Genomic DNA, 25,748 nt, shown 5'->3' with positions numbered 1-25,748 from the left:
GCTGTCAGTAACTGACTAAATTGATCATAAATTTAATACAAATACATTTTTAATACAGAAAAGTAATTTTTGTACTAAAAATTAAAAATACAGCACTCCTAATATGGCATTTTTTAGGGCACTGCAGTGCATATATAAAAGGAAAATATGTAAAAAGAATTAGAATAAAGGTTTGATCCACCCAGTATCAACACTCTTATTTAACTGATCATACAAATGTGTCTTGCCCCCTACTCTGGTCCCCACCCCAGCCATGCATACCCAAGGTTTTCCTTACCCGGTACCTGCAGCCACACTGATGAGTCAAAATGAAGTTCACAGAGTACTCTAAAGGCTCATCAAAAAGTCCTCCGGGAAAATTAAGAATATAGTCACACAGTCAAGAAAGTCCAGGAGGGAGCGGCCCGCAGGGAACCCTGAGCAGCCCCACGGCCTGCCGCCAGCCCCAGTCACAGTCACCAGAGCTAGGAGCAGCAAGTCCCCGGCCCAGGAGCCGCCAGCGGCCCCCACCGCCCTCGTCCCTGCCCTCGGTGCTGCCGGCACCAAGCCCAGCACCACGGACAGCGCCGGCGCCTGCCAATGGGGAAAAGGTCATTGCAAGGAAGGTTTTGGAGACAATAAAATATTTCAGCGTAAGAAACAGATATGGTTTCACCAAGAGGAATGATACCGAGGAAGATGCATTTGTGTACCAGACTGCTGTAAAGAAGAATAACCCCAGGAAGTACCTTCGCAGGGTAGGATATGGAATGACTGTGGAGTTCGATGTCATCTAAGGAGAGGAGGACCCTGGCAGCAAGTGTCACAGGCCCTGGTGGAATTCCAGGTCAAAGAGGTAAACGTGGAGCAGGCTGCAACCATGATAGACTCCGCGTCATAGGGGTCCTCAATAGTGAGAGAGAGAAAAAGAACAGGATGGGACAGTGGTCCCACAGGGTGCACACCTCACTACACTCAGATAACCTGCGGGCAATCACAGTATTCCCACCCTCCCTTGCAGGGAGAAGAAGTGGAGGTGCTGACAGCCAGGGCGCAGGGGCACAAGGTAAACCAGTGAGGCGGGATGTGGATGGGGCTAGAGACCACGGTTCCACAGGAGCTCTCCTTGCCAAAGATGACCGAGAGAGGACAGCAATGACATGGGTAAGGAAAACCAAGGCAATGAACCCAGGGTCAGCAGACACTTCAGCCTCGGGGCAGCCACAACTTCAAGTACCAGCCCTGATGCTCAGAACACCCCAAACGACAAGATGGTAGAGACAAAAGCTGAGAATTCATCCACTCCTGAGGCTGAGCAGAATGTGGCTGAGTAAATGTGGGCTTACCATCTCCACCACCACTCCATTTAGTCATCCAACAGGAAGAAAAGGATATGAAATTCCAGCAATAAGAAATGAGCAAGATATTGGAGCTGAAGACCTTAAGTCCTTGCTTTTTACCCACTGACCAGATAACTAGAACTATTTGCAATATCTATGCAGCAAGGGTTTTTTTTTGTTATTTTTACCTAAATATGCCTCTTTTTGATAATGACAGGCATGTTGTTTTTGAAAAGCTCGGTTTTTCTCAATACGCTTTTAAAGGTTTTAAAATTGTTTTATATCTGGTCAAGTTGAGATGTTGAAGAACTTCATTTTTAATTTGGAGAAAAAGTTTACAACTTGATTTTTCCAAAAGGCAAGTACCTATTAACAAAGGTCTTAAATAATTGTCAGAAAGAAAGTAAGTCCAGGAGAAAGAAGTAAGCAAATTTGTCTACTTACCATTTAGTTTCCCCACTGGTCAAAATGGAAGGCAAATAGGACCTAAAAATGGGCTGTTTTCTTTGAAAGCTATATACACTGTTTTTCTTTTACTATTTTACATTTGTCTTTGGCATTACAATTTCATTATGATATGTTGAGTTGTGGACTTTTTGATGTGACCTTCTTGAGATTAAATATGTTTCCTGAAACTGTTTAATTTCATTAGTTTTAGATAAGTACATTATCTCTTTAAATATTGCCTCTTTTCCAATATTCTCCCTTTCTCCTTCTGAAATTCTCATTAGATATCTGTAAACTTTCTCATTCTACCCTCTACGACTCTTATCCTCTCATTTTTCCATCTCTTTACCTCTCTGGATTGCATTATGTATACTTTCCTTAGATTTATTTCAGGTCACTAATCTTCTTTAAAGCTAGGTCTAATTGGCTGTTAAATCTGTTAAATATAATCATTAAATTTTGACTATTATAATTTTCATTTCTAAAATTTTAACTTGGTTCTTTGTCAACTCTGCTTAATCATTTAAAGCATCATATTCCTTTGTTATTTCCTAAGTTCCTTTGTTAATTACTTTAAGCATATTAAACCTAGTTATAATCTGTGTCTATTAATACTGACACAGGAATGCTTTGGTTTATTATGCTTCGCTTCAATGCACTTTGCAGACATTGTATTTTTAAAAAAATAAATTGAAGACATGTGGCAACACTGCATCAAGCAAATCTATCAGCACCATTTTTTCCAAAAGCATGTGCTCACTTCAGCTGTGTGTCACATTTTTGGTTATTCTCACTGTACTATAATCCAGTGAAATACAGTAAGAATAACCAAAATTTATTGCATTTATCATTACTATATCTGTTATGGTGATCTGTGATCAGTGATATATGCTGTTACTATTGTAATTGTTTTGGAGCACCACAAACCATACCCATATAAGATGGTGAACTTAATGAATGTTGTGTGTGTTCTGACTCCTCCACTGACCGGCCATTCCCCCATCTCTCTCCCTATCCTCAGGCCTCCGTATTCCCTGAGACACAATGATACTAAAATTAGGCCAATCAATAATGCTACAATGACCTCTAATTGATCAAATGAAAGGAAAAGTCACACATCTCCCACTTTAAATCAAAAGCTAAAAATGATTAAGCTTAGTAAGAAAGGCTTGTCGAAAGCCGAGTTAGGCTGAAAGTTAGGCCTTTGCACTAAAAAGTTAGCCAAGCTGTGAATGCAAAGGAAACGTTCTTGAAGAAAATTAAAACTGCCTTTCCAGTGAACATATCAATAAGAAAGTAAAACAGCCTTATTGCTGACATATAGAAAGTCTGAGTGGTTTTGATAGAAGATCAAACCAGCCACTACATTCCCTTAACCCAAAGCCTAATCCAGAGCAAGACTCTAACTCTCTTTAATTCTATGAAGGCTGAGGGAAGTAAGGAAACTACAGAAGAAAAGTTTAAAGCCAGCAGAAGCTGGTTCATGAGGTTTAAGAAAGGAAGCCATCTGGATAACATAAATGTGCAAAGTGAAGCAGCAAGTGCTGATGTAGAAGTTGCAGCAAGTTATCCAGAAGATCTAGCTAAGACAGTAGATGAAGGTGGCTACACTAAACAACAAATTTTCAGTGTAGGTGAAACAGCCTTCTACTGGAAGAAGATGCCATCTAGGACTTTCATAGCTAAAGAGGAGAAGTCAATGCCAGGATTTAAAGCTTCAAAGGACTTGCTGACTGTCTTGTTACGGGCTAATGCAGCTGCAGCTGGTAATTTTAAGTTAAAACCAATACACATTTTCCATTCTCAGAATCCTAGGGTCCTTCAGAATTATGCCAAATCTACTTTGTCTGTGTTCTATGAATGGAACAACAAAGCTTGGAAGGCAGCACATCTGTTTATAGCATGGTTTACTAAATATTTTAAGCCCACTGTTGATACTACTGCTCAGAAAACAAGATTCCTTTCAAAATATTACCACTTATTGACAAGACACCTGGTCACCTGAAAGCTCCGATGGAGATGTACAAGGAGATTAATGTTCATACCTATTAACACAACATTCATTCTTCAGCCCATGGATCAAAGAGTAATTTCAACTTTTGAGTCTAATTATTTAAGAAATACTTCTCATAAGTCTATAGCTGTCAGCGATCCTTCTGATAAGTCTGGGGAAAGTAAATTGAACACCTTCTGGAAAGAATTCCCCATTCTAGATACCGTTAAAAATATTTATGATTCATGGGAGGAGGTCAAAATATCAACATTAACAGAAGCTTGAAGGAAGTTAATCCCAACGTTCACGGATGACTTTGAGGGTTCAAAATTTCAGTGAAGAAATAATAGCATATATGGTGGAAATAGTAAGGGAACTAGAATTAGAAGTGGAGCCTGAAGATGTGATTGAATTGCCACAATCTCATTCAAACTTGAATGGACGAGAAGTTACTTCTTATGGATAAGCAAAGAAAGTGGTTTACTGAGATGAAATCTACTCCTGCTGAGGAAGTTATAAGCATTGTTGAAATGACAATGAAGGCTTTAGAATATTACTTAGACTTAGTTGATAAAGCAGCAGCAGGGATTTTAGAGGATTGACTTCAATTTTGAAAGAAGTCTTAATCTGGATAAAATGCTATAAAACAGTATTGCTTGCTATAGAGAAATCTTTTGTTGAAGAAGAGTCAGTCGAAGTGGCAAACTTCATTGTTGTCTTATTTTAAGAAATTGTCACAACTACCCTAACTGTCAGCAACCACTATCCTGACTGGTCAGCAGTCAACAACATTGGGGCATGACAGTTCACTAGCAAAAAGACTCACAGATGGCTCAGATGATCATTAGCAATTTTTAGCAATGAAGCTTTTTAAAATTAAGGTATGCATATTGTGTTTTTAGACACAATGCTTAGACTACAGATTGTGTAAACAAAAATTTTATATGCACTGGGAAACCAAAAATTTTATGCGACTTGTTTAATTTCAACATTTGCTTTCTTGCAGGGGTCTGGAATTGAACCTGCGATGTCTCCAAGGTATGCCTGTATCTGAAATCACTGTCTTTTCAGGCTCTCCACTCTTAGTACAGTTTCCATAAGTGGTTTCACAATTTTGCCCCCAAAATATGAGCTCATTTTCCCCCACTTCTGACATTATCTGTGAGACTTCTCTGAGGTCTTGGATACAAGTGAGTTCCTCCAGAGAGGATTTGTTTCCTCTTGCCAGGTGCCTCTGGCACAACCAACCTGAACTTAATACTCGATTTTCTATCTGAGGTTTTCCAGACCATCTAAACAGTGTGAGCTCAGGCTACAAAATATGTCAGAGCATATAAACTGTGTGAGGGTGTGTGAATTCTTATAAAAAGATTTTAAATTCTTATAGGAGAATTTTTGTCTTCCACTCAGAATCAAGGATTGAGACAAGCAATTTTCCTTGTCATCCCCTGAGGCTTATTCCTACTTTATTCTTACCCTGAAGGTGCAATTATTTGGGGTTTTAACTTAACATGGATTGGGATAGTGGGAGTCTCCGATTATAGTTCCCATTTTGGATGGACCAATTGGATTTCCCATCTGAGGCTTGTCCATCTGTCTCCCAGGGCTGTATGAACTAATGGCCAAGTTCACCTAATCTGGCAAATGCCTGCATGGGGTCACAACATCTCTCTGATGCCCATTGTGGCCTATTAGGTTCTTTATTTTTTGCTAACCCATTAATGCCTTTGAAAACATATTTAAATGATTTAGTCAGCATTTTAAACTTATTTTAAGCAAGAAAGTCATTATCAGGATTTCTAGTCTGCTGAACAGCTGGACACAAAGGACACAGAATTCTCTTTACCAGGCAGCTCCAGGGATATGTTAACATCTTGCAATGGCCATAGGCATGCTCATTAGAACACTGGCCCTTGGTGCCAGCCACATGCCTGTAACTAGCGCAACACATCAGTGATCATGAGTGAAGGTGATACTACACTAAAAAGTAGACTTAGCTTTAGAGAGTTGCCTAAGGAACTGAAGATGGGTCATTAACACAGGCATGATCCAGGACCTGTGTTTTGAACTCAGTTCCTTGGGTTTAAATGTATGGGTGGAGTGGAGACATTCCCATCAAGGTCAAGAAAAACTCCTACACTTTGATCCACCAACTAACAGAAGAAAAGCTGACATACTATCTGGATTCCTGGGATAGCATATTTCTAGCCACATCCAATTTGAGTATTTTGCAGTATCCTCTATCTAAAGTACCCAGGAATATTGTCATTTTTTTTTAGTAGGACCTGCTCCAGGAAGCAGGTCTCCAGATGCCACAAACATTCTTGAGGCTTGAACCCTAGGCCCTGGCTGAGAATGCAGTTCTGGATTTCTCAGCATGAATGTGAATGCATTTTGGAGATTTTGTGATGTCCCATAGGTGAACAAACTGAAAAGCAACTGTGTCCTGGACTAAAACAACTCCAGCAAGGGCTAAGGTTAGATATTCTTTTGAGAGACAAGACCAGCCTGTTACCAGGCTCTGGTATAACACCAAAAGACTGACATTAGCCATATAACTCTGAGACCAGAACGGCCAATCACGGCCTGAATGATAGAGAGAGTCTTTGTCTTTCACAACATGGAAGGCATACAAAAGCACTCCATCATTACATGGAAGTGAAGGCAACACACAGGGCTGCCCAGCCTGCCCAACATTCGTGCCATGCACCCACTAGAGCTGGATGAAGCAAGATGGATTGGGCATAAGTGTGGGCCAGAAGTCATGGCATTCCATGGGTGAGAGGTGACCTTGTACCTTGGCTGTTCCAACTGTCCCACTCACATTACTTGCCCTAAACATTCAGTGCTGATCGCTCTGTCATAACAATGACAACAACAACAACAATAGTAGTTGAACCATCCTGTATGCTACTATATGTCTAGTACTGTTCTGAGCACATTTAACCTTCATTACAACCCTATATGGTGGTATTATTAGGTCTCTCATTTTATAGATAAGAAAACTGACTCACAAAGGGCTTAAGAAACTTGCTGAAGGTTATACAGTTAGTACGTGGCAGAGTTCATATCAGAACTCAGGCAATCTGGCTCTCAGGTCCGTGCACTCCATTGCTACACTATATTGCCGTGCACAGTGCAGGGATATTATTGTGGTACTTAACATTGAGTGGAAGATAATTCTGTAGGTCAGTTTAAATAGTCACTAAGTACTTACACTGTAAGAATTTCTTTTTATAGAACACATGGGTAAGGTTCAATTTATTAATACAAGGTAAAGCATTGGTGGAGAAACAGACATTGTTATAAACTATTTTGGCTTTATCTGATTTGCAAACTACTACTAATAAGGAATCTAGAGTAAGAAAATATAGGTTCACTGGCACCCAAAAGATGTCAACAGTTTGGTATCAAAATATTTGTGTTTCCAAAGATTTTGTGAGGGAATGTAAATTAATGCCTAGTGTAGGAGTCTCCAAAGTTGGCTGCCACAATTCCTCCCCTCCAGGACATCCACATCCCAACCTAGAGCTTGTTTCCCCTTCTCTTGAATCTGAACTGCTCGTCCACTTGCTTTGATCCACGTAATGTGGTAGAAGTGATGCCCCCAGTAGCCACCATGTACCTGTGCCAGCCCAGCTCGAGCTCCAGGCCTTTTACTATCTCTCACTCGAGAAAACTCCATGACTTCTACAAAAAAAGGATGAACAATTCTGGATTTGGGGGAGGAAAAGGCATCTCACTAAAGGAGGCATTTAGGGGCACCTAACAGAGAAACATGAGTGTAAAAATCTGTGAACACTGGGTCAAAAATGAATGAATAAAAAATCCTCAGGTCCATCAGGCTGAAAAGGGAAAATGTCCTAAAACAGGAAGTGAATTCCCATGACACAGAGAAAAAGAAACAAGTCAAATACTAAGGTCTGGATCTAATCAGTTAATTGCTTGTCTACAAAGAGAGGCAGACAGGCAGGCAAAGGAGCTGAGCATGGAACCACTCTTGGGACAGTGGCACCAGTCAATGCAGAGCCATTATTTAGGGGACGTCAACAATGTTGAGAGAAGGACTTGCAAGTGATGGTCCAGATGGTCCAGTCTACAGAGATGTTCAGCTCCCGTCTGCTGTGGCCTTATTGCTGTGAGTTAAAATCATGGGTTTAAATAAGGTACTCTTCTTTGACTTAGATTCTGAATTATAGCTTTAATCTTCAAGGAAGTATTTCCTGACAAAATCAGGAGGCCTGGGAGGGCATGCTGAGGCTGGAGCATTGCTGTGAATTTCATCTTCTTCTCCAAGGTTGAGCAGTGGCATTAAGGAACTGCCTCCAAGATCATCTGATTTTCAGAAAAGTATTTATAATTTCTTACAGAGTCACATATTGTTCTATAAAAATCTTGTCTCAAAATGTAACCTGTTCTCCAAAGCCTAAGGAAAATTTTCTAAGTATCTGAGTCTTTCAGGGCTGAAATATGTATGCAATGTGTTAAACAAAGCTCAACTTCATGTCAGCACTTGCAATCATTTGCTCACAAATATCAGTAACAAAAATTCTTTCTGACATAAGTGACAGAATAATGACCTTAAAATTGCATCCCATTCCAATCCCAGATCCTGGCCTTTGAAAATGTCCCCAAATGTTTCTTTTACCTCCTGGTATAGCAAACACTAAAAAGACACTTCTCAATACTCAAATGGGTGATTATCTTTGTAGACCAATCCATGCCAAGGTGAAACCAGTCTATTTCGTTACCCTCCTTTTCCATTTTCAGCAGAATTCTCTCAACTGTGGAAACATAGATTTGGAATTACAAATCTACTACTGCCACCACTCTGGGAATCTTGAGGTGATGACCTTATAGAGCACCGACACGAATACATTTGTAAACCTCTGGTCCCTGTGAAATGCCTAAAGTAAAGAAATAAGCTCACACCTCTGAGGCTGCTTCCAGCTTAGACGAATAAGATGCCACACTAAAAAGGTAAGGGCATTGTGTTCACTTGACCAGGTTGGAAATTAAATTTCTAATGAAAAAGGATAAAAAATTTTTAAACGGTGTTTTTCAGTAAAGAAAGCCTCATAGCTCCCTAATTTTTACAACCAATCCTGTAGATATTCAACCCCAGATTGAAGGATTCAGTGAACGAACTCTTGAGAGACCCACATTTGAAAATGTGCAACTCGCCCTTAATTTGAAAAGTTAGGGATAAACCATTGAGCAAGGCCAACTAAGAAGTTGAAGGTCAAACACATAGAAACATGAGAGAAAACGCAAAACAAACAAAAAAGAGCTTCCAACAGCTCTTAGCACACAGTATAATTAGACCAGCTCCAGCACAATTGGCCACAACCTGCAGTCAGAATTAATCCAAAACCAAACTCCTTATCTCCCCACATAAGTCACTATTTCTGGGAAAGCCTCCATCATTTTCTCGTTAGCATTGGTTGGGAACCTCCAAGCCATCTCTGACACTCTCCTTCAATCGAGTTTCCTGCAGGTGCCAAATCCTACTAATTCTATCTTGAGAACTCCTCTTCCTTCCTCCTGTCCCTGCCCTAGTTACATCTCATCAAGCCTAGGGCAACAGCCTCTAAACTGATTTCCCACTTTCTCTCTCTTTCAACCCCAATACAATTCATACCATGCCGCTGTATCTATATTCTTTTTATTATTATTATGGTTTTGAAAGCCCACATAATAAAAAATTTACCATCTTAACCATTTTTAAGTTTACAATTCAGTAGTGTTATGTACATTCACACTGTTGTGAAACAGAGCTCCAGAAATTTTTCTTCTTGCAAATCTGAAACTCTTTACCCACTGAACAACAATTTGCCATTTCCTCCTCCTCCTAGTCCCTGGCAACCACCATCCTACTTTCTGTTTCTATGAATTTTTCAACTTTAGATACCTCATATAAGTCAAATCATATAGTATTTATCTTTTCGTGATTGACTTATTTCACTTAGCATAATGCCTTTAAGGTTCATCCACATTATAGTATCTGATGGTATTTCCTTCCATTTTAAGACTGAATAATATTCCACTACACGTATATACCATCTGTTGATGGACATTTGGGTTGCTTCCATCTCTTGGCTATGGCAAACGGTGTTTTCCACAGTGGCTGTACCATTTTACATTCCTGCCAACAGTGCCCAAGGGTTCTCTTGGCTATGGCAAACGGTGCTGCTATGAATGTGGGTCTACAAATATTTCTTTGAGACCTGGATTTCAACTTTTTTGGATATATATCCAGAAGTGGGATTGCTAGATAATACAGTAATTTTATTTTTAATTTTGAGAAGAATCTCCATACTGTTTTCCACAGTGGCTGTACCATTTTACATTCCTGCCAACAGTGCCCAAGGGTTCCAATTTCTCCATATGCTCTCCAACACTTGCTATTTTCTGGTTTTTTGATAGTAGCCATCCTAACAGGTATGAGGTGGTATCACATTGTGGTTTGGATTTGAATTTTTCTGATAGTGAGCATTACATCTAGATTCTTCTTTCCTGTTTCTGATCAAACCCCTTCCCTGCTGAGAGGCCGTGTACTGAATAAAGTACAGACCCACTTAAGGATCTTTATAACCACACCAGCTATTTTATTTCGTACTGTCTCATTCCACAAATCCTCCATACCAGCCCAATTAAATGCTTCATCATCCTCCAAGTAGGTCCCATGCTTTCTTTTCCTTCTGCAAATATTTACAGCTCAAATACCACCTCCCCTGAGAGGAGTGCTTTGTTTTCACAGCCAGAAGTCTACCTTCTTTCAGCACTTGGTGCTTGCTCTTACCATATGCGTCACATTTTCCTCTTCTATACCACTTAATTCGCAGGTCTCATCTCACTACGGAACAAAAAGTTCCTTAAGGCCATAGACTAAGTCCTGTTCAATCGTCTATCCTCCGCAGTGCCTGGAATACCACGGGCCTTTAATAAATAGTCATTAAATAAAGGGTTCAACACTTTAATGTGTAATCAGTTGATTAAGCCCATCAAAATGCCTGCAATTTTAAATCAGCAGCACTGCTGTCCTTTTTGTGTGCTGGGAAGGGGGAGAAGTGGGGAAAGAAGGTTTTGGTTTTTGTGCTTTAGTCGTCCAAACTCATCTTAATTCCCTTGAACACATTATTGAACTTCCAACTTGAAAAAAAAAAAGCTTTGAATGCCAAGTAGAGCTCACATCTAGTAACTGAACAGCCGGCTATTGTATTTACCCTTCTAGTGGCTACAAGCTGACATTTAAATACTCCTCTTCCCTTTCCAAATATTAACCATGTGCAGCTGGTCACTTGGGTTCTGAAACAACATTTGATGGAGCACATTTCAAATACAATTCTGGAAAAATATTCAATTACTTCATTTTCATTTTACTCACTAAGTGGTAGCTTCCCTCCCAAGTTCAATTAAACTCACTTGAAATTAGAATTCACAAGAATACATTTAATTTAGATTTACTGGAAGATGTCAGACACCAGTTAATTAGCCTTAAAGCAGCACAGCCATGAGGTCCCTCCTGACTGAGCTTTCTGTCTTTGACAGGTAGCTTTTCTTGTTACGTAGTATTGATTGGGAAGCTCATCCAGTATCTGGGGCCAACCAATGGTTATACAACATTCTGACAAATAAATTAGATGTAGATTTTAAATTACTTGTGTGCAACCTATGGAGATCATTAGCTTGGGTCTAACAATGATCTGTGTTCTGTGGCCTGAAAATTCTCATTCATTTGAATCAATGGATTATTTTGCCAGATAATTCAACAAACATTTACCAAGAACCTATCCTGTGCCCGGCACTATTCTGGACACTTTATTTATTCAGCAATTCTTTATTAATCCCTTCTATGCCAAGTCACATAAGACATAACTCCTCCCCTCAAGGAATCTAGAAAATGTTTCAGACTTTTTCTTTGCTGCCTGTGGAAACGCAGTCAGTGTTCAGCAGTTTGTGGTTTTTAAAGAGTCATTGTAATGCCAAGTCCCAATTAATTCCAGATTTTCTAGAACAGCCAGATTTCAAATAGTTGGTGATTATGTGTGGGACAGTGTCTCAATTATTAATATGATTCATGTAAAGGGGATAGAATAAAATGCCTCAAATTCTTTGTAGGTTATGGTATTGATTTTAAATTAGTAAATTTCTAGGATTAACTCTGTTTAGTAAGCAATGGTATTAAATATATTTCCAAAGACTAAGTTCACTAATCAGTGTTTACTATGTAGCCATTATGTGATCAATTCTTTGTGAGACAAAGGAGGAAGATGAAAAGAGAAAGGCAATTTATATTCATTAATTACCAACTTTGTAATATACTTAATATTTCCTTTTGCATCAGGGGTCTGTAACATGCCACAGAGTAAATAATTTAGGTTTTAAAGGCCATATGGTCTCTGTTGAAACTACAGAAAAACAGCCCACAATGACACATAAGTGAATGGATGTGGCCATGTTTCAATAACTTATTACAAAATGAGTTGGCGGGCTGGATTTGGCTCTTTGATTGAGACAGAGCCTTGGCTCTTTTTTTTTAGACAAGGTCTTGCTCTGTGGCCCAGGCTGGAGTGCATTGGCACATTCACAGCTCACTGCAGCCTCGACCTCATGGACTCACGTGAGCCTCTCACCTCAGCCTCCCGAGTAGCTGGGACCACAGGCATGCGCTACCATGCCCAGCTGATATTTCCTCTTTTGTAGAGATGGGATATCACTATGTTGCTCAGGCTGGCCCTGTTGTATGCTGTCTCCCACCCCTGTCCTCCACGCCTCTGAATGCTCCACCTGAGAAGCCCTTCCTTGTGTCCTCATCTATGTATCTTCTACTCGTCCTTCAAAGTCCTGTTCAGGCGCCTCCTCTTCCTCTTCTGACTCAAGTTTGAGAAATCTGATAAATAGCAACTAGTTTTTCTACAGCACATACAATTTTTCAAAATGTTTACTCTCTTACAACATTCTTTTAAAATAATCACTGCAGCAATTATTATTCCCACTGGGTCCATGTAAAAACAGATGGGATAGCATCTCGAGAATCATGGATGGTTAGTGTCAGAGGCAGAAGAGCAGGCAGAGGGGGACCATAGCCCACCACAGCCAGAGGCAAATACTGTGGGGCCTTGAATCTCACTTCCCCAGAGGCTGCCTGGAGAGGCCATCAGCAACAACTGGGAAGGGTAGGATGGAGTGTCTACACAGAGGAGTGCCTCTGTGGGAAGGAATTGGCAGAGCCAACCTTTCCCTTCCTTCCCACGAATGACTGTTCTAAGGAATAACAGCCTGTCCTACAGAGCCGAGAAATGGACTCCTTTACATTTGTCTTTGTCTGTGATACTGTGGCCAGCTTGATAAAGCATCATATGCTTTTCCTCCATCCCTACCTCACTTCCTTTTCCCGCCATGTTATCAGTGCCCTGGGAACATATCTTTACATATCTATCTTTTTTTTTTTTTTTTTTTTTTTTTTTGAGATGGAGTCTTGCTCTGTTACCCAGGCTGGAGTGCAGTGGCATGATCTCGGCTCACTGCAACCTCCACCTCCCGGGTTCAAGTGATTCTCCTGCCTCAGCCTCCTGAGTAGCTGGGATTACAGGCACCCACCACCACGCCCAGCTAATTTTTGTATTTTTAGTGGAGACAGGGTTTCACCATGTTGCCCAGGCTGGTCTTGAACTCCTGACCTCAAGTAATCCACCCACCTCGGCCTCCCAAAGTGCTGGGATTACAGGCGTGAGCCACCGTGCCCAGCCTGGGAATATATCTTTCAATATACATGAAGAAATACATTTTGCCTCAGGTTTTGTTTTCTAGGGACTTCGAACCAGAAACTTTGGAACCAGGACATCCTCGGTATAAGATTTTGGAGTTGGAATACTGACTGTTGGGATACAATTCACCTTTGGTCTTTTATAAATGACATGACACTACTAGGCCCGAGTTAAAGGACTTTGTCTTCCTTCAGTATCCATGAATGTGGAAAGGTAAGGTGTTGGCTTGAAACTAGAGTGTAATCTCAGACTCTTCACAGTTCTTGATACTCATTTGTCTAAAAAGAGAAAAAAAAAAAGAATCCCTCTGCTGCTGCTAAGTGGCATGTGGTGACATCACAATTAGTCAAGCTTTCACCTGCAGTTGATTGAGATGAGGTGCAGGTAAAGTGCAAGACACTGGAAGGTCAAATGGCTGCATCATTTGATTGGCAGAAGATAATGACAACTATGAGGATGGGAGTGTGAAATGGCTATTTGTGAAAGCATTTGAGGTCTTGCAAAAAGAAAATGAAACCAAGCCAGCTAATTGCTGGCTTCAGGCATATTCTAAAAGTGCAAAGATTCTGTATCCATAGAAAAAGAGACTCTTGTCTCCTGCAGCTTCAGGGCCAACTGCACTGAAAATCAGACCCAGATCATGACTTTTCCATGTGGTAAATTTTCAAAGTAGGTCAAATGTGCAGCCTCGACCTGTCTCGTATGTCACAATCAGAGCCCTAACGAGTAAGGGTGGGACTACGAAACCTGGTGTGGGGGTATTCGTGTAGTTAAGCTGGAGAATCTTGAACCCTCTGGGCCAGCCAAAGAAGCTTCTCCCCATTGCCAGAGGAAAACAGTTCCCCCACCTCCCTCAATCAACTTGTCGAAAGATCACGTACTGATATTATTGGAAATAGGTGCATGGCAGAATGGTATTTATTCTTCCCAAGATCTGCCCCCAACTACCCCTCATGACCTCCAGACCAATAGCCAGTGCCAGCATGCATGCACAGTGATATACAGGCCCTATTCTATGAAGTAGTAGACTATATACTAGATGAACTGTAGAACTTTGCTAACACATACTAGCAGTGTTCATGAACAAGCATGCAGGAGTGACTCTTGAGGGTGAAGAGACTACTCAGCAAAGGAAAGGGACAGATGGGGATGGTGATTGACATGAGAACATTAACCTGAGACTTGGGATTCAATTAGCTGATAAGGATACCTGGAACCAGTCCTGATACCATACTGGGAGGGCTCCTTGAACCATGAGCAGAATGATGGCCTACAGTAAATTGGGTGAAGATATTGAAACTTCCTCAGCATAGTTCTGAAGAAGGGGTCAGAAGGCACAGAGGGATGGAACTGTTAGAGTGGATTTACTCTGTAAAACCTGAGACCCCATCACATGATAAATTCTCTGAGAGGACTCAAAGGGCACTTCCTTCAACAAGGCAATAAGAAATGTACTGATCAAGGGGGCACAAGAATCATTGAGATTCTTTATGGCGGCTGTCCACTGCAGGCAGGAATTGCCATGAATATGCTGCCATGGAACCGAGATCCTTAATCTAAAGGCAATAATGGGTTCCCAAAATGGCAAAGGCCAGGAAGCAGCCCTTAACATCGTTAGCATAATGTGCAGCAAGGCTGGAGTAGCAACTGGGCTGCCTCGATCAATAGAAATCTATGGTGATGGTGTTTCAAGGGGCAAGATAGATGGGCAGTTGACTAGGGTGTTGCTTGATTTGTACAATCAAAAATAAACACACACACACAAACACTCCACGCATGCATGCACAAGCTGGTGAGCTGAAGGTTGTCATCAGTTTCCACAGCAGAAAATCACAGTCCCCTCACCCAGTTTCCAGACGTAAGTCAGCTCACAGACCCAAAGCTCCATATCCAAAGCATATATTAGCCACGTCCTACAGTCCCTTCCAGGTACCATCTATTACTTCCTAGAACAGGGCTTGTGCACCCCTACTCAAGCTGTGCTAAGTCCTGGCACTGGTTATTGGTCTAGAGGCCATGAGAGGTAGTAGACAGCAGACTGAAGAAAAGATTAGGTTTCCTTGAGGAAGAATTGTGTAACACCAGTGCAGAGATATGCAGAAAATATGCCTCTAATTATCACCCCAAAGAAAACATTTGCTGGGTAACTTCGCCTTTGAGAAAAGAGAAAACCCAGAAATTTCATTAACTGTTAAATAGAGGGTCTGAGCTGACACTAATACCAAAGGACCTCAAAAACTCACCATGCTCCTCTGACTGAAGTGAGGACACACTGATGTCATGTCGTAGTGCTTTAGCCTGAGTCACATGTGCCTGTCCACTGACCCACACTGGATTATTTCCCAGTCACTAAGTGTGTAGTTGGTATAGAGATACTTAGTAACTAGCAAGACCCTCACGTTTCTTCCCTGACTGTGGAGGAAGAGCCGTTATGGTAATAAAGGCTAAATGCAGCCCCCTGAAACTACCCCTCTTTTCTGCCTGGATAAATTGGATGCAATACTGCATTCCTGTAACAACTGAAGAGATTAGTGCCACAACCAAAAATCTGAAAGAGGCAGAGATAGTGGTCTACATCATGTCTCTCAATTCATCTGTGGCCTCTGCAGAAACCAGATGGAGCATAGCAGATGGCCATAAGCTACCGTACAATTAGCCAAGTGGTAGTCGCAATGCTAACTGATAAGTTAGATAAAATAACATACTTCCTGAAGCAGATTAGCATGGACTCTGGTACTGAATATATTGCTACTGAGTTGATAAATGCTTTTTTTTTCAATATCCATTAGTGATGGCATCAAAGTACTGTAGTCTTTCCATGGCAAGGACTACAGTACACCTTCAACATAATAGCTTTAGGGCTATGTTAATTTTCTTGTCATAATCTAGTCCTCAAGGAACTTGATTGCCTTGACATTCTGCAGAACATCACATGGGTCCATTATCTTGATGTTATAATAATTGCATGGGGGAGCAGGAAGTGGCTTAGATAATTTACTAAGAGAACACATACATGGTGGAAGGTGGGAGATAAATGCCACAAATACTTAGGACCTGCCAAATCAGTGACATTTTTAGAGCTTCCAGTGACTTGGAGCATGCTGGGACACTGCTCTAAAGGAGAAATCCTTGCTCCTAGAACACCTGCTACTACAAAAGAAGAACAGCACTCATTGAAATTCATTGAATTTTAAGGCAGTGTTTACCACACTTTGGAAAACTGCTCAAATTTATTTACCCGGTGATTCAGGAAGATACCAGGGGAACAGAGAACTCTGTAGCAGGTTCAGGCAGTGGCACAAGCTGCCCAGCTACTTGACCTGTATGTTGCAGCAAATCTGGTGGTGCAGGGGGGTTCACGGTGGATAAGGATGCTGGGCAAGCTCAAATATGAGACTCTCAGGGCAGACCTAGAGAGTTCTTAATCAAGGCCACGTCCTCTACTTGAAAAAATAGCTCCCTTGTGTTACTGAGTTCTAGCTGAAACTAACATTTGACCTTGAAACACTAGACTGTATGACCTCCATTACAAGCTAAGTAATACTATATCCACCAAGTCATAAGGCCAAGTGCGTGTAGTCACAATCCATTATATGATTAAAGTGGTATATTTGGTACTAGACTCAAGCAGATGCAGAGTATAAGTTGCGTGAAAAAGTAAGTTCATGGTCAGGTCACTACCATGTCACTTACCTCTGTAGTACCAACACCATTTTTTTCATTCCATATATGTGGGTTTCCATTCCCTATGACCAACGGATGGAGGAGAATGGACCTGGGCCTGGTTCACAGGTGAGTTGCAGGAAATGTTGGCATTGAAGATGGACTGTGGCTGAACTATAGCCTCACTCAAGAGTGGCCTCCCAGGAAGCAAAGCTTCTGGCAGACACTCAGTCATCCACTTTGTATTCAGGGAAACATGGCCTGTGGTGCAGATATCAACTTCTGGGAGTGGCAAGTGGATTTGCTGATAGGTCAGGAGCTGGATGGAATACACCTGGAAGGCCAGCAGCAAGGAGGCCTGGAGGGACCTACAGAAGGGCTCACAATGCTTGAAAATCTTTGTATCTCACATGAATTTCCATGGCAGAGAATCTACTCCAGATAAAGTTCTCAGGAGCCAAGTTAGACAAGATGATGTTAATGAATGTCAGCTGGCATCTCTCTTCCACTCCCTACTACTTGCCCAGGAATGGAGGCTGTGCATGGACCAAACATCATGGGCTCCTGCTCACCAGTGCTGATCTATCTGTTATCATTGCTGAATGCCCAATTTGTCAACAGCACAGACTGATGTTGAGTCCTCAATATGGCACCATTCCTTGAGAAGACCAACCTGGTGGCAGGTGGATTATATTGAGCCCCTTCCACATGGGAAAGAACATTGGTCTATCCCTGCTGAAGTTGATACACATTGCGGACTTGGGTATTCTGCCTGGCTTGCAGAGCTTTTGTTGGAAATCCTGAGCAAAGGCTTATAAAATGCCTGATCTACTGAAAGTTAACCGAAAACATTGTCTCACACCAAGCGACCCATTTTATTGCAAAGGAAGTACGACAATGACCTGGGGCTAACTAATCTTTGCCATCCCCAGAGTCAATCTGACTGACAGAATGGCATAGCAGCCTATTGAAAGTGAAGTTAAGGCAACGAGTTATGGGGAAGAAAAAAAAAAAAAAAAACTCCTTGCTGGGCTGGGCCCTACCTTTCAAGATGTGGTGTAGGTGATAAACCAGTGGCTGACATGTGACACTGTGTTCCCAACAGCTACAATAAACTGACCCAGGAACCAAGTGATGGAAGTAGGAGAGGTCATTCTAACCACCACCCCTATGAAATATTTGTGGAGGCTGTGCATCCTAACCCCACATACTTTGACTCTACCAGGTTCCTAGAGAGGTTGCACCGACTAGTGGATACAGTAAAGCTTCCACTGAGCTTGAAGCTCTATCTACCATGTGGCCACTTTAGGCACTCATGCCAGTAGAACAGGTCTATATCCTCATGGACTAGAGCTTTATCAATGAGTATGAGGAGACAGGCAGGTGCCAACAAATAAATTGTTCTCTCTTCCTCTAACTGGATGGACTATTCTCATCTCATTTCCTGGTCACATCTCATGTGACCAGAAAACTGGCTATATTTTCTTGTGAGGCTGTGGCTAGCTTGCAACAGACCCCCTTGCTTCTACTTTGCCTACTTCCCTGGCCTCACTTTCTTTGCCCCACACTCCCACTGCCCTGGGATTGCAGTGCTCAGTAACACATTAGCATGTAAGGAAATCCTGCTAGGCAAGATATCCACATGGGTACTGATTTGCCAAGGGTCAGTGGATAGAAAGTGGATTCCAAGCAAAGGTTATGCCCAAAGGATGAGGCATAGATTGATTCCCACACACAGAGGTTGCAAACAGGACCACACAAATTGCCCAAGAATCCACAGGAGAGAAACTAGTCCCTTGCTGCCTTGGTTACAGAAACAGTGTCAGGTGGGGGTTGGGAGGTCACAGGCTGGCCCATCATTTAAGACCCTGGACAAATGCAGCTGACACCCTCCCCCGCCCACCCAGGAAGCCTTTCCGTGCCCTCCCTGTCTCCCCTGCCCAGGCTGGGATAGACAGCCCCTCTCCCTGCCCCCCAACAAATGCTTCCTTTGTACAACTGGATCTATACATTTTCCTCATTTTACTGGATCGTCTATTTTCATTTCTGTTTCATATCACTCCACAGCTCAACAACCACAATGGCTCACCCTTTACTCAGAATAGAAGCCAGCATCCTTACAGCGGCCAACAGAGCACTTTATAATCCATCTCCAACCCCACCTCTCGGCACCCTACTTGCCCCGTTCATTTTGTAGTCCTGGATCACCCAGGCCTACAGCTGCTTTAGGAAGTGCCAACACCACCATGGTCCCTCAGCCTGGAACAGTCTTTCCCCAGACGTCTTCATCACTAACTGCCTCACCTCCTCAAGACTTGTTGCAATGTCACCTCATCGAGGCCCACCCTAACTACCCTACTGAAAATGAACACCTGTCTACCTTCATCTCCTCCCTCCATAGCACTCCCATCCCTCACAAATGGCAGTCTCACACCTCTGCTCTGCAGAAATGCTGGTGCCACCACTAACTGGAAGGATGTTATGGGGCACAAAGGTATTAACACCCAGTCCCTCAAATTCAGGGACAAACACTTCTTAGACTAGAGGTGGCCATATCCACCTGTGATCACAGCTCTTGCCCAGTTGGGGGTCAGTGCTGAGTGTCCTAAGACATCACACCGTCTCATGTAATCACTGCTTGCCTTTAATCCCCTGCTGCATCCCACCCTTTCACCTCCCCACACTTAAAGACCTTGCATTCTCTGAACTTCACAGACTTTTGCCAACTCCTCTGAGAGTGGGCAACTTTGCCGTAACAGTTTCCCCCTGTTGGTGTTTTCCTCATGCACAGAACTTCGGGCACAGCAGCCTCCTCTGGGGAGGGAGATGAGAACGGGAAAGTTGCATGGGGCCACCTCAACCCCACCAGCCAGCATGTAAGTGAGGTAGTCTCTAGCAGGTGCTCGGGAGAGGCTCCTATTAACAGTAATGGGCCCTCTGGATGTTTCAAAGGCAGAGCCAGCCACTGGATTGAGACCCTCCCTGCGGGAGTGAAGGCTGCTGATTGCACTGTCTGGGGCAGGTGGAGAAAAATCACTCCCATTAGTTATACGACTACCTCTTCCACCTGGCCCGCATAACCAGAGGGTCGTTTACACACACACGCTCACTGTCTCATTAAAGCCAAAGGACGCTCAGGCCTCAGTCTCTCTGCCTGTTTCTAAAGTGTGTTATTTGCGATTCAATTACACATGGCCTGCAGAGGCAATAAAGGGCAAAGGGAATTACCCTGTAATGTATTCCAAAAGCACTCCCTGCACACCCACACTCCCAAGGATAACAATTTGCCAATATAACCTTTCATTAAATGAACAGAAATCATGCAGACCCCATGGTGCAGGAAGTCACTACATAGAAGGAAATTATGTATGAGTTGCCCCCAGCCACTCATTTTAGCTTGAATAGGATCTGTCAGCAGGGGCTTTAAAGAGCTCTAAACTGAACACAGGAAGCAGCCCTTTTCTGATGCCTACAGGGGGATGGAACTGGGCCTCTGGCCCCACTCAGAGGGCAAGAGGAGGCTCCACCCAAGGGAAAGACACAACGGAATGAAGCAACTTGCAGGAATTGCCACCTACAGTCTCAGAGACATGTCCCAAGCCCTTTGAATCAACTGAACAACTTCCCAGCAAGGCTGACTCCTGCCCTTGATTCAGAATCGCTGCCAAGGAGGCAACAGTCATTGTCAAATCTCAAGGGCAACATTCTCTGGTTGGAAGCCAGCAACATTGTGGGGAAAAATCATTAGCTTCCTGCAATCCTGAAATGACTGCCTACGTGACAATGTATCTCACCTGGGGAGGAGGAAAGACAAGCAAAGGTCACCCTGCCTCCTCTCTCTCATCTGTCCCCTTTTTCCAGGCCCATCGCCACTACCCTACTTTCAGCCTTCATAACGACCTGCACCAGTGACTGCCAGACAGAGACCTGCCCTGCCCCACCTTCCATCTGTAACCACCTCCTGCTTCCACTGCACACGTAAGCTATGGCCAGAGCAGCAGCCTAAAATTCACCTCTGTTTTCTGTTTAAAACCCTTTGGGCAAAGGTTGGGTTGACCCAAAGTATAGGGCCCAACCTCTCAGTCTCACGTTCCAAACTCAATTCATCATTCCAGTCTTCACTGCCATGACACTCATTCACATCCCTAGCCTCAGCCAAACCTGGACCATTTCTGCACTGGTCACCTCTGTGTGCCTGTCCACAATGTACCCTCTGACTAGCATGTCCCTCTCTCCCACCCTGCCACTTCCATATAGGTAAATTTCAGGTGCTCATTATGGACTAGCCCCAGTCCTATCCCCTCCACAAAAGCTTCCCCTATTGCAGTTAATCTCATCCTTCTTTGTTGTAGCTTCTCTCACATTCTATCTGCAGTATAGTTGTTTCTTTTCCTGGTCTAGAAGGTAAACTCTTTTTGAGGACAGGAAACTGTTCACTGTTGCATCTGCATTTATATACACATAGTGAAACCACAGGTACTTGAAATATGTTGGTTGGGTCAAGTTCAATTTTGGAGATTGTTTATTTTCATGGGACCTGCACAAATATTAGCAGAAAAAAAAAGAATTTCCCATCATGCCAAGTATCAGGCAGAGTGTTGGGAGGTGCTGGGAGGCAGGACTTCTAAGAAAATGGTACCAGGAGCTGAGATTTGAGAAATGCAAATTATATTACAAGACCCTTGAGGGAGAATGAGAAAAGGGTGGAATTTAACAACCAGATTTTATTAGCTCAGGGCTACTGGGTACATGATCTAATTCCTCCTGGAAAATTCTCTGAGGCTTCTGAAAAGTGGAAGCAGACTCCCTCTAAAGGGGTATGAAGAGTAAATAAATATAGATACCAACTGACCCTTGTATCCCAGTTTCATTCTGGCTTCCTCCAGAAAACCTTCCTAACTGTTCTGGGCCACTATGTTCCCTGCCTTCACTGACTTTAGTACCATACAGCTTAGGGTAAAAGTATACATCATCTTTATTATTCATTAAAGTTTCATGAGCAGTAACTGTAGCTCACCAACTTGACTATGGAGAGATTGTGTCTGCAGCATTTTTTCATTTTCATTCATTGATGTATTCATTCAAAAATACTTTTCTTTTTTCAACTTTTATTTTAGATTCAGAGGGTACATGCACAAGTTTGTTTCCTGGCTATACTGTGTGATACTGAGGTTTGGGGTATGAATGATCTCATCATTCAGATACTGAGCATAGTACCCAATAGTTACTTTTTCAACCCTTTCCCTGCTCTGACCCTCCCTCTCTAGTAGTCCTCAGTTTCTGCTGTTGCCATCTTTACGTCCATGAGTACCCAAAGTTTAGTTCTCACTTATAAGCGAGAACATGCAGTATTTGGTTTTCTGTTCTTGCATTAGTCCATTTAGGATAATGGCCTTCTGCTGCAACCACAGTGCTTGTCTGCAGCTTTTGATTGCCCCACAGGAGCCAGTGCTCTGCTAGGTCCATGAATCTATGCTCAACACCTGCCTGTAGACTGACACACTCCTCTTGGCCCTCCCATAAGACTAAGACATTGTAATGGTTCTCTTTGACTCCAAAAGGGGTCCAAGAAAATTTCTTATAATATTGGCTGTTGCTTAATATTTCTTCACTGCCTACAACTCCTACTAGGGTATTACTGTCAATTAGCAAACACATATAAGCACCATTTTTTGGCAGGTACTTTAAAAATGTTAAAAAAATATAAAACATGAAGTTATGGGGTGACCTTGTCACGCAGGAGAAATCAGTTCACACTCTAGTGTGGGAGGGAGAGCTCCTGCATACTGAAGAGTAATCATAATGCAAGTCAGAATGTACTAGCTCAAGTTGTTGAGAGGCCAAGTGCTCTCTGGGCACAGATGCCACTCTTGGTCCTCTACACATTTGCAATAAAAAAAACAGCCCTGAAATTTTCTACCTGTCATTCTCCATCTAAAATGTTATAGACTTAAAGAAAAGACCAGAGGACACCCAGCAACTAATTTGCACACAGTAGGAGTTCTCACTCAGCTCACTCTGCCTATGTGTTTAGTTTCCTCAAAAGGGTCCAGGCCTGTTAGCCTGGGGGTTATGCTGCCCTCTTTGTACTTACCCTGCAGGAGAGGAGCAGCCCAGAAGCCTGACTTGCCAGAGATTTTCTCAACAGACACCACAGAACTCAGTCAACCCTGGCCCTGGGAATGTTCCCCAGAGCTACAAAGTTTGCTGGAGCCTACCCTGACCTTTCCTGAAAAATGCATTTCATTCCTAGCTGGAAAGGAAACAAAAGATAAATCGCAAGGAAACTCAAATTTGAAAAAAAGGACAATCATCCAGAAAGTATAGGTTTTATCTTTCTCTCTTTCTTTTTAAATGTTGTGATAGCGACTCTGCTAAGAGAAAATGATTCTGGATGAAAAATTAATTCAAATTATAATTACTGAAATATTGAGAAAATATTTGAGGTACTTTACCTATGTCAGTGACAAACAGTTCTTCAGTCATTCAGTTAAGACATGAACCCTTCCAAACCCCTGTGGATGTTACTGTACAATGACTGCTCAGAGACAGCCAAGCTCAAGAGTATGCTAAGCATGAATGACTCAGAAAGGCTCAGCCAAGACACAGCCTGCAAGGCTGGCAAGGAAAGAAAATAGGCTTTAAGCTTTTAAAAAAAATCCTCTTTTTTCTCATTATAAAACAAATATTTGTTCATTACAGAAAATTTCATCAATACTATACATATAAGCAAAAATAAAAATATATCATATTTTCATCACCCAAGTTTAAGAAGCAGTTATTTTATGCTAAGCAACAGTTCAGATACATTATATACACCACCTCATTTTACTTGCACAACCACTCTGAGTTTGTGATGTTAAGGATCAGAGAGGTTAATTAACCTTCCTGAGGTCATATAAGCTATTAAGTGGTAGGCAAAAAAAGAAACCCACCTCTGTTAAATTCTAAATCCTATACTTTTTGTTTTATGCAACCCTCTTCCCATTCCAAAGCAGTAAGTAGTTCTCCTTCAAACGCTGTGACAACCTTAGCATGTTTGACAACTCCACTGTAAACCTGCCAAGGGAGATGTGTATGCCTCCTCCTAGGCTACCATGCTCTTTGCCTCCTTATTGGCTACCATGCTCTTTGCCATCCAGGGACTCCCCAGGAAACAGTAATGGCTGTGATTACTTACTGTACAACAGTGCCAATGCACTCACAGACAGTTTCATTGCCAATACCAGCAGCATGATAGTTTGGAGAGGGGGTACAGGGAGACTAGGGGAAGTTGCATTCCATGGCTAACTTTCCCTCCACTGTAGTTACAGGCCCCAGAGTTCCTGGGCTCCAGAGGACTGGTTGATGGACGACACCTGGTTTAGAAGCAAGGAAAAGGGGAACTCCTCTGTAGAGACAATCCTGGTAATCTATCCTTACAGATTTGTCCAGGCGACTGCCCAGATCTGATCAGGACAAAGGGACTTCTTTCTTTTTTTTTTGCTTTTGTTTTAACCTTCTCATTGAGTGAAAGATGCTGTTCCTTGAGGTTTCAGAGAGAACCAATCACTTTCACATATTCCAAATTACCACCTGTTTGCTACTAATTAAATGAATTATGTCTCAAATCCAAACAAATTTTGTGAATAAGCAAGTCAAATCATCATTTTGAAACATTGGCTTACAGCCACCAGGCCTGCTAGGACCTCTTGGTTTAAGGGACACAGGACATCATTTCCTTCTTAGCATAAAATCCCTCAAGGTAATTTTCTGGTATTGCCCCATGCCCCCTGGGAATTGGCTCCCATCTTCATAGAAGACAAAACGTGTAAGAGAACAAGACTAATATGCTAGAGTCTCCAAGAGCACCTCTACATTTGGAGGTTTGCTAGAAGGACTAGTGGGACTCAGTATGTAGTTGTACTCTTGACTACAATTTATTGCAGCAATGTTGGAAGGATATACTGCCGGGTCATAGGAGGGAAGGACACAGGCTGGGTCTGGGGAAATCCATGCACAAGCTTGCTTATTCTCTCTCCTTCCCCTGAGAGCTCACATACAGCCCACTTTTCCCTGAGCAACAAACTGCAGCAGCATGAGTGAGATGTTTCTGCCCTGAGAAGCTAGTGAGAGACTTAGTGCTGAAGGTTTTTAATGTGGGCTTCTCTCATGGATACCATTTGTCTAAAATGCACCAATGGTCCAGATTCCTAGCTAGAAATGAGTGATCAGAATAAACTAGGTTGTTTGTACAAATAGTCTAGGCATACTGCACTATCCTTAGGGAATACTGGGATCCTCCTGAGATTCAAGTTCCCAGATGCCCGTCATAGGCCAATCCTGCACACGAGCTTCTCTAAGGACACCAGCTTCAAGGCTGCTATGTTAAACTTTTACCACACAACTGAACACCAACAGCCATGTCTGTATATGCATGATCCCAAGCAAGGGGAAGTAAATCAATCCAGATGATGGCTCAGTGTTGGGCATGTCGTTCGTCATGGATAAGCTCATGTGATACTTCTTCTTCAGCTCCCTTTCACAGCTTCAAAAATAAGAACTACGTGATTTTTA

At 42.4% G+C, this 25,748-nt stretch overlaps 1 protein-coding gene and 1 pseudogene across 1 annotated transcript in view, besides 1 other annotated feature; one reads left to right on the top strand and one right to left on the bottom strand.

Moving 5' to 3' along the window:
- Positions 1-25,748, bottom strand: part of GPR39 (G protein-coupled receptor 39) — a 229,778-nt gene that overhangs the window by 156,718 nt on the left and 47,312 nt on the right. The window lies entirely within an intron of this gene.
- Positions 435-888, top strand: YBX1P7 (Y-box binding protein 1 pseudogene 7; annotated as a pseudogene).
- Positions 20,960-21,460: an enhancer, noted in NCBI's record as "H3K27ac hESC enhancer chr2:133225978-133226478 (GRCh37/hg19 assembly coordinates)". NCBI's record gives its function as "activates a minimal SCP1, AML or CMV promoter by ChIP-STARR-seq in primed H9 embryonic stem cells {active_cell/tissue: H9 hESC(primed)}" and the evidence as "EXISTENCE:reporter gene assay evidence [ECO:0000049][PMID:30033119]".

Source organism: Homo sapiens, chromosome 2, assembly GCF_000001405.40.
Source record: "Homo sapiens chromosome 2, GRCh38.p14 Primary Assembly".
NCBI lineage: Eukaryota > Metazoa > Chordata > Mammalia > Primates > Hominidae > Homo > Homo sapiens.
The sequence above is the reverse complement of the archived record's forward strand: the minus strand, read 5'-3'. Positions and strand labels throughout refer to the sequence as shown.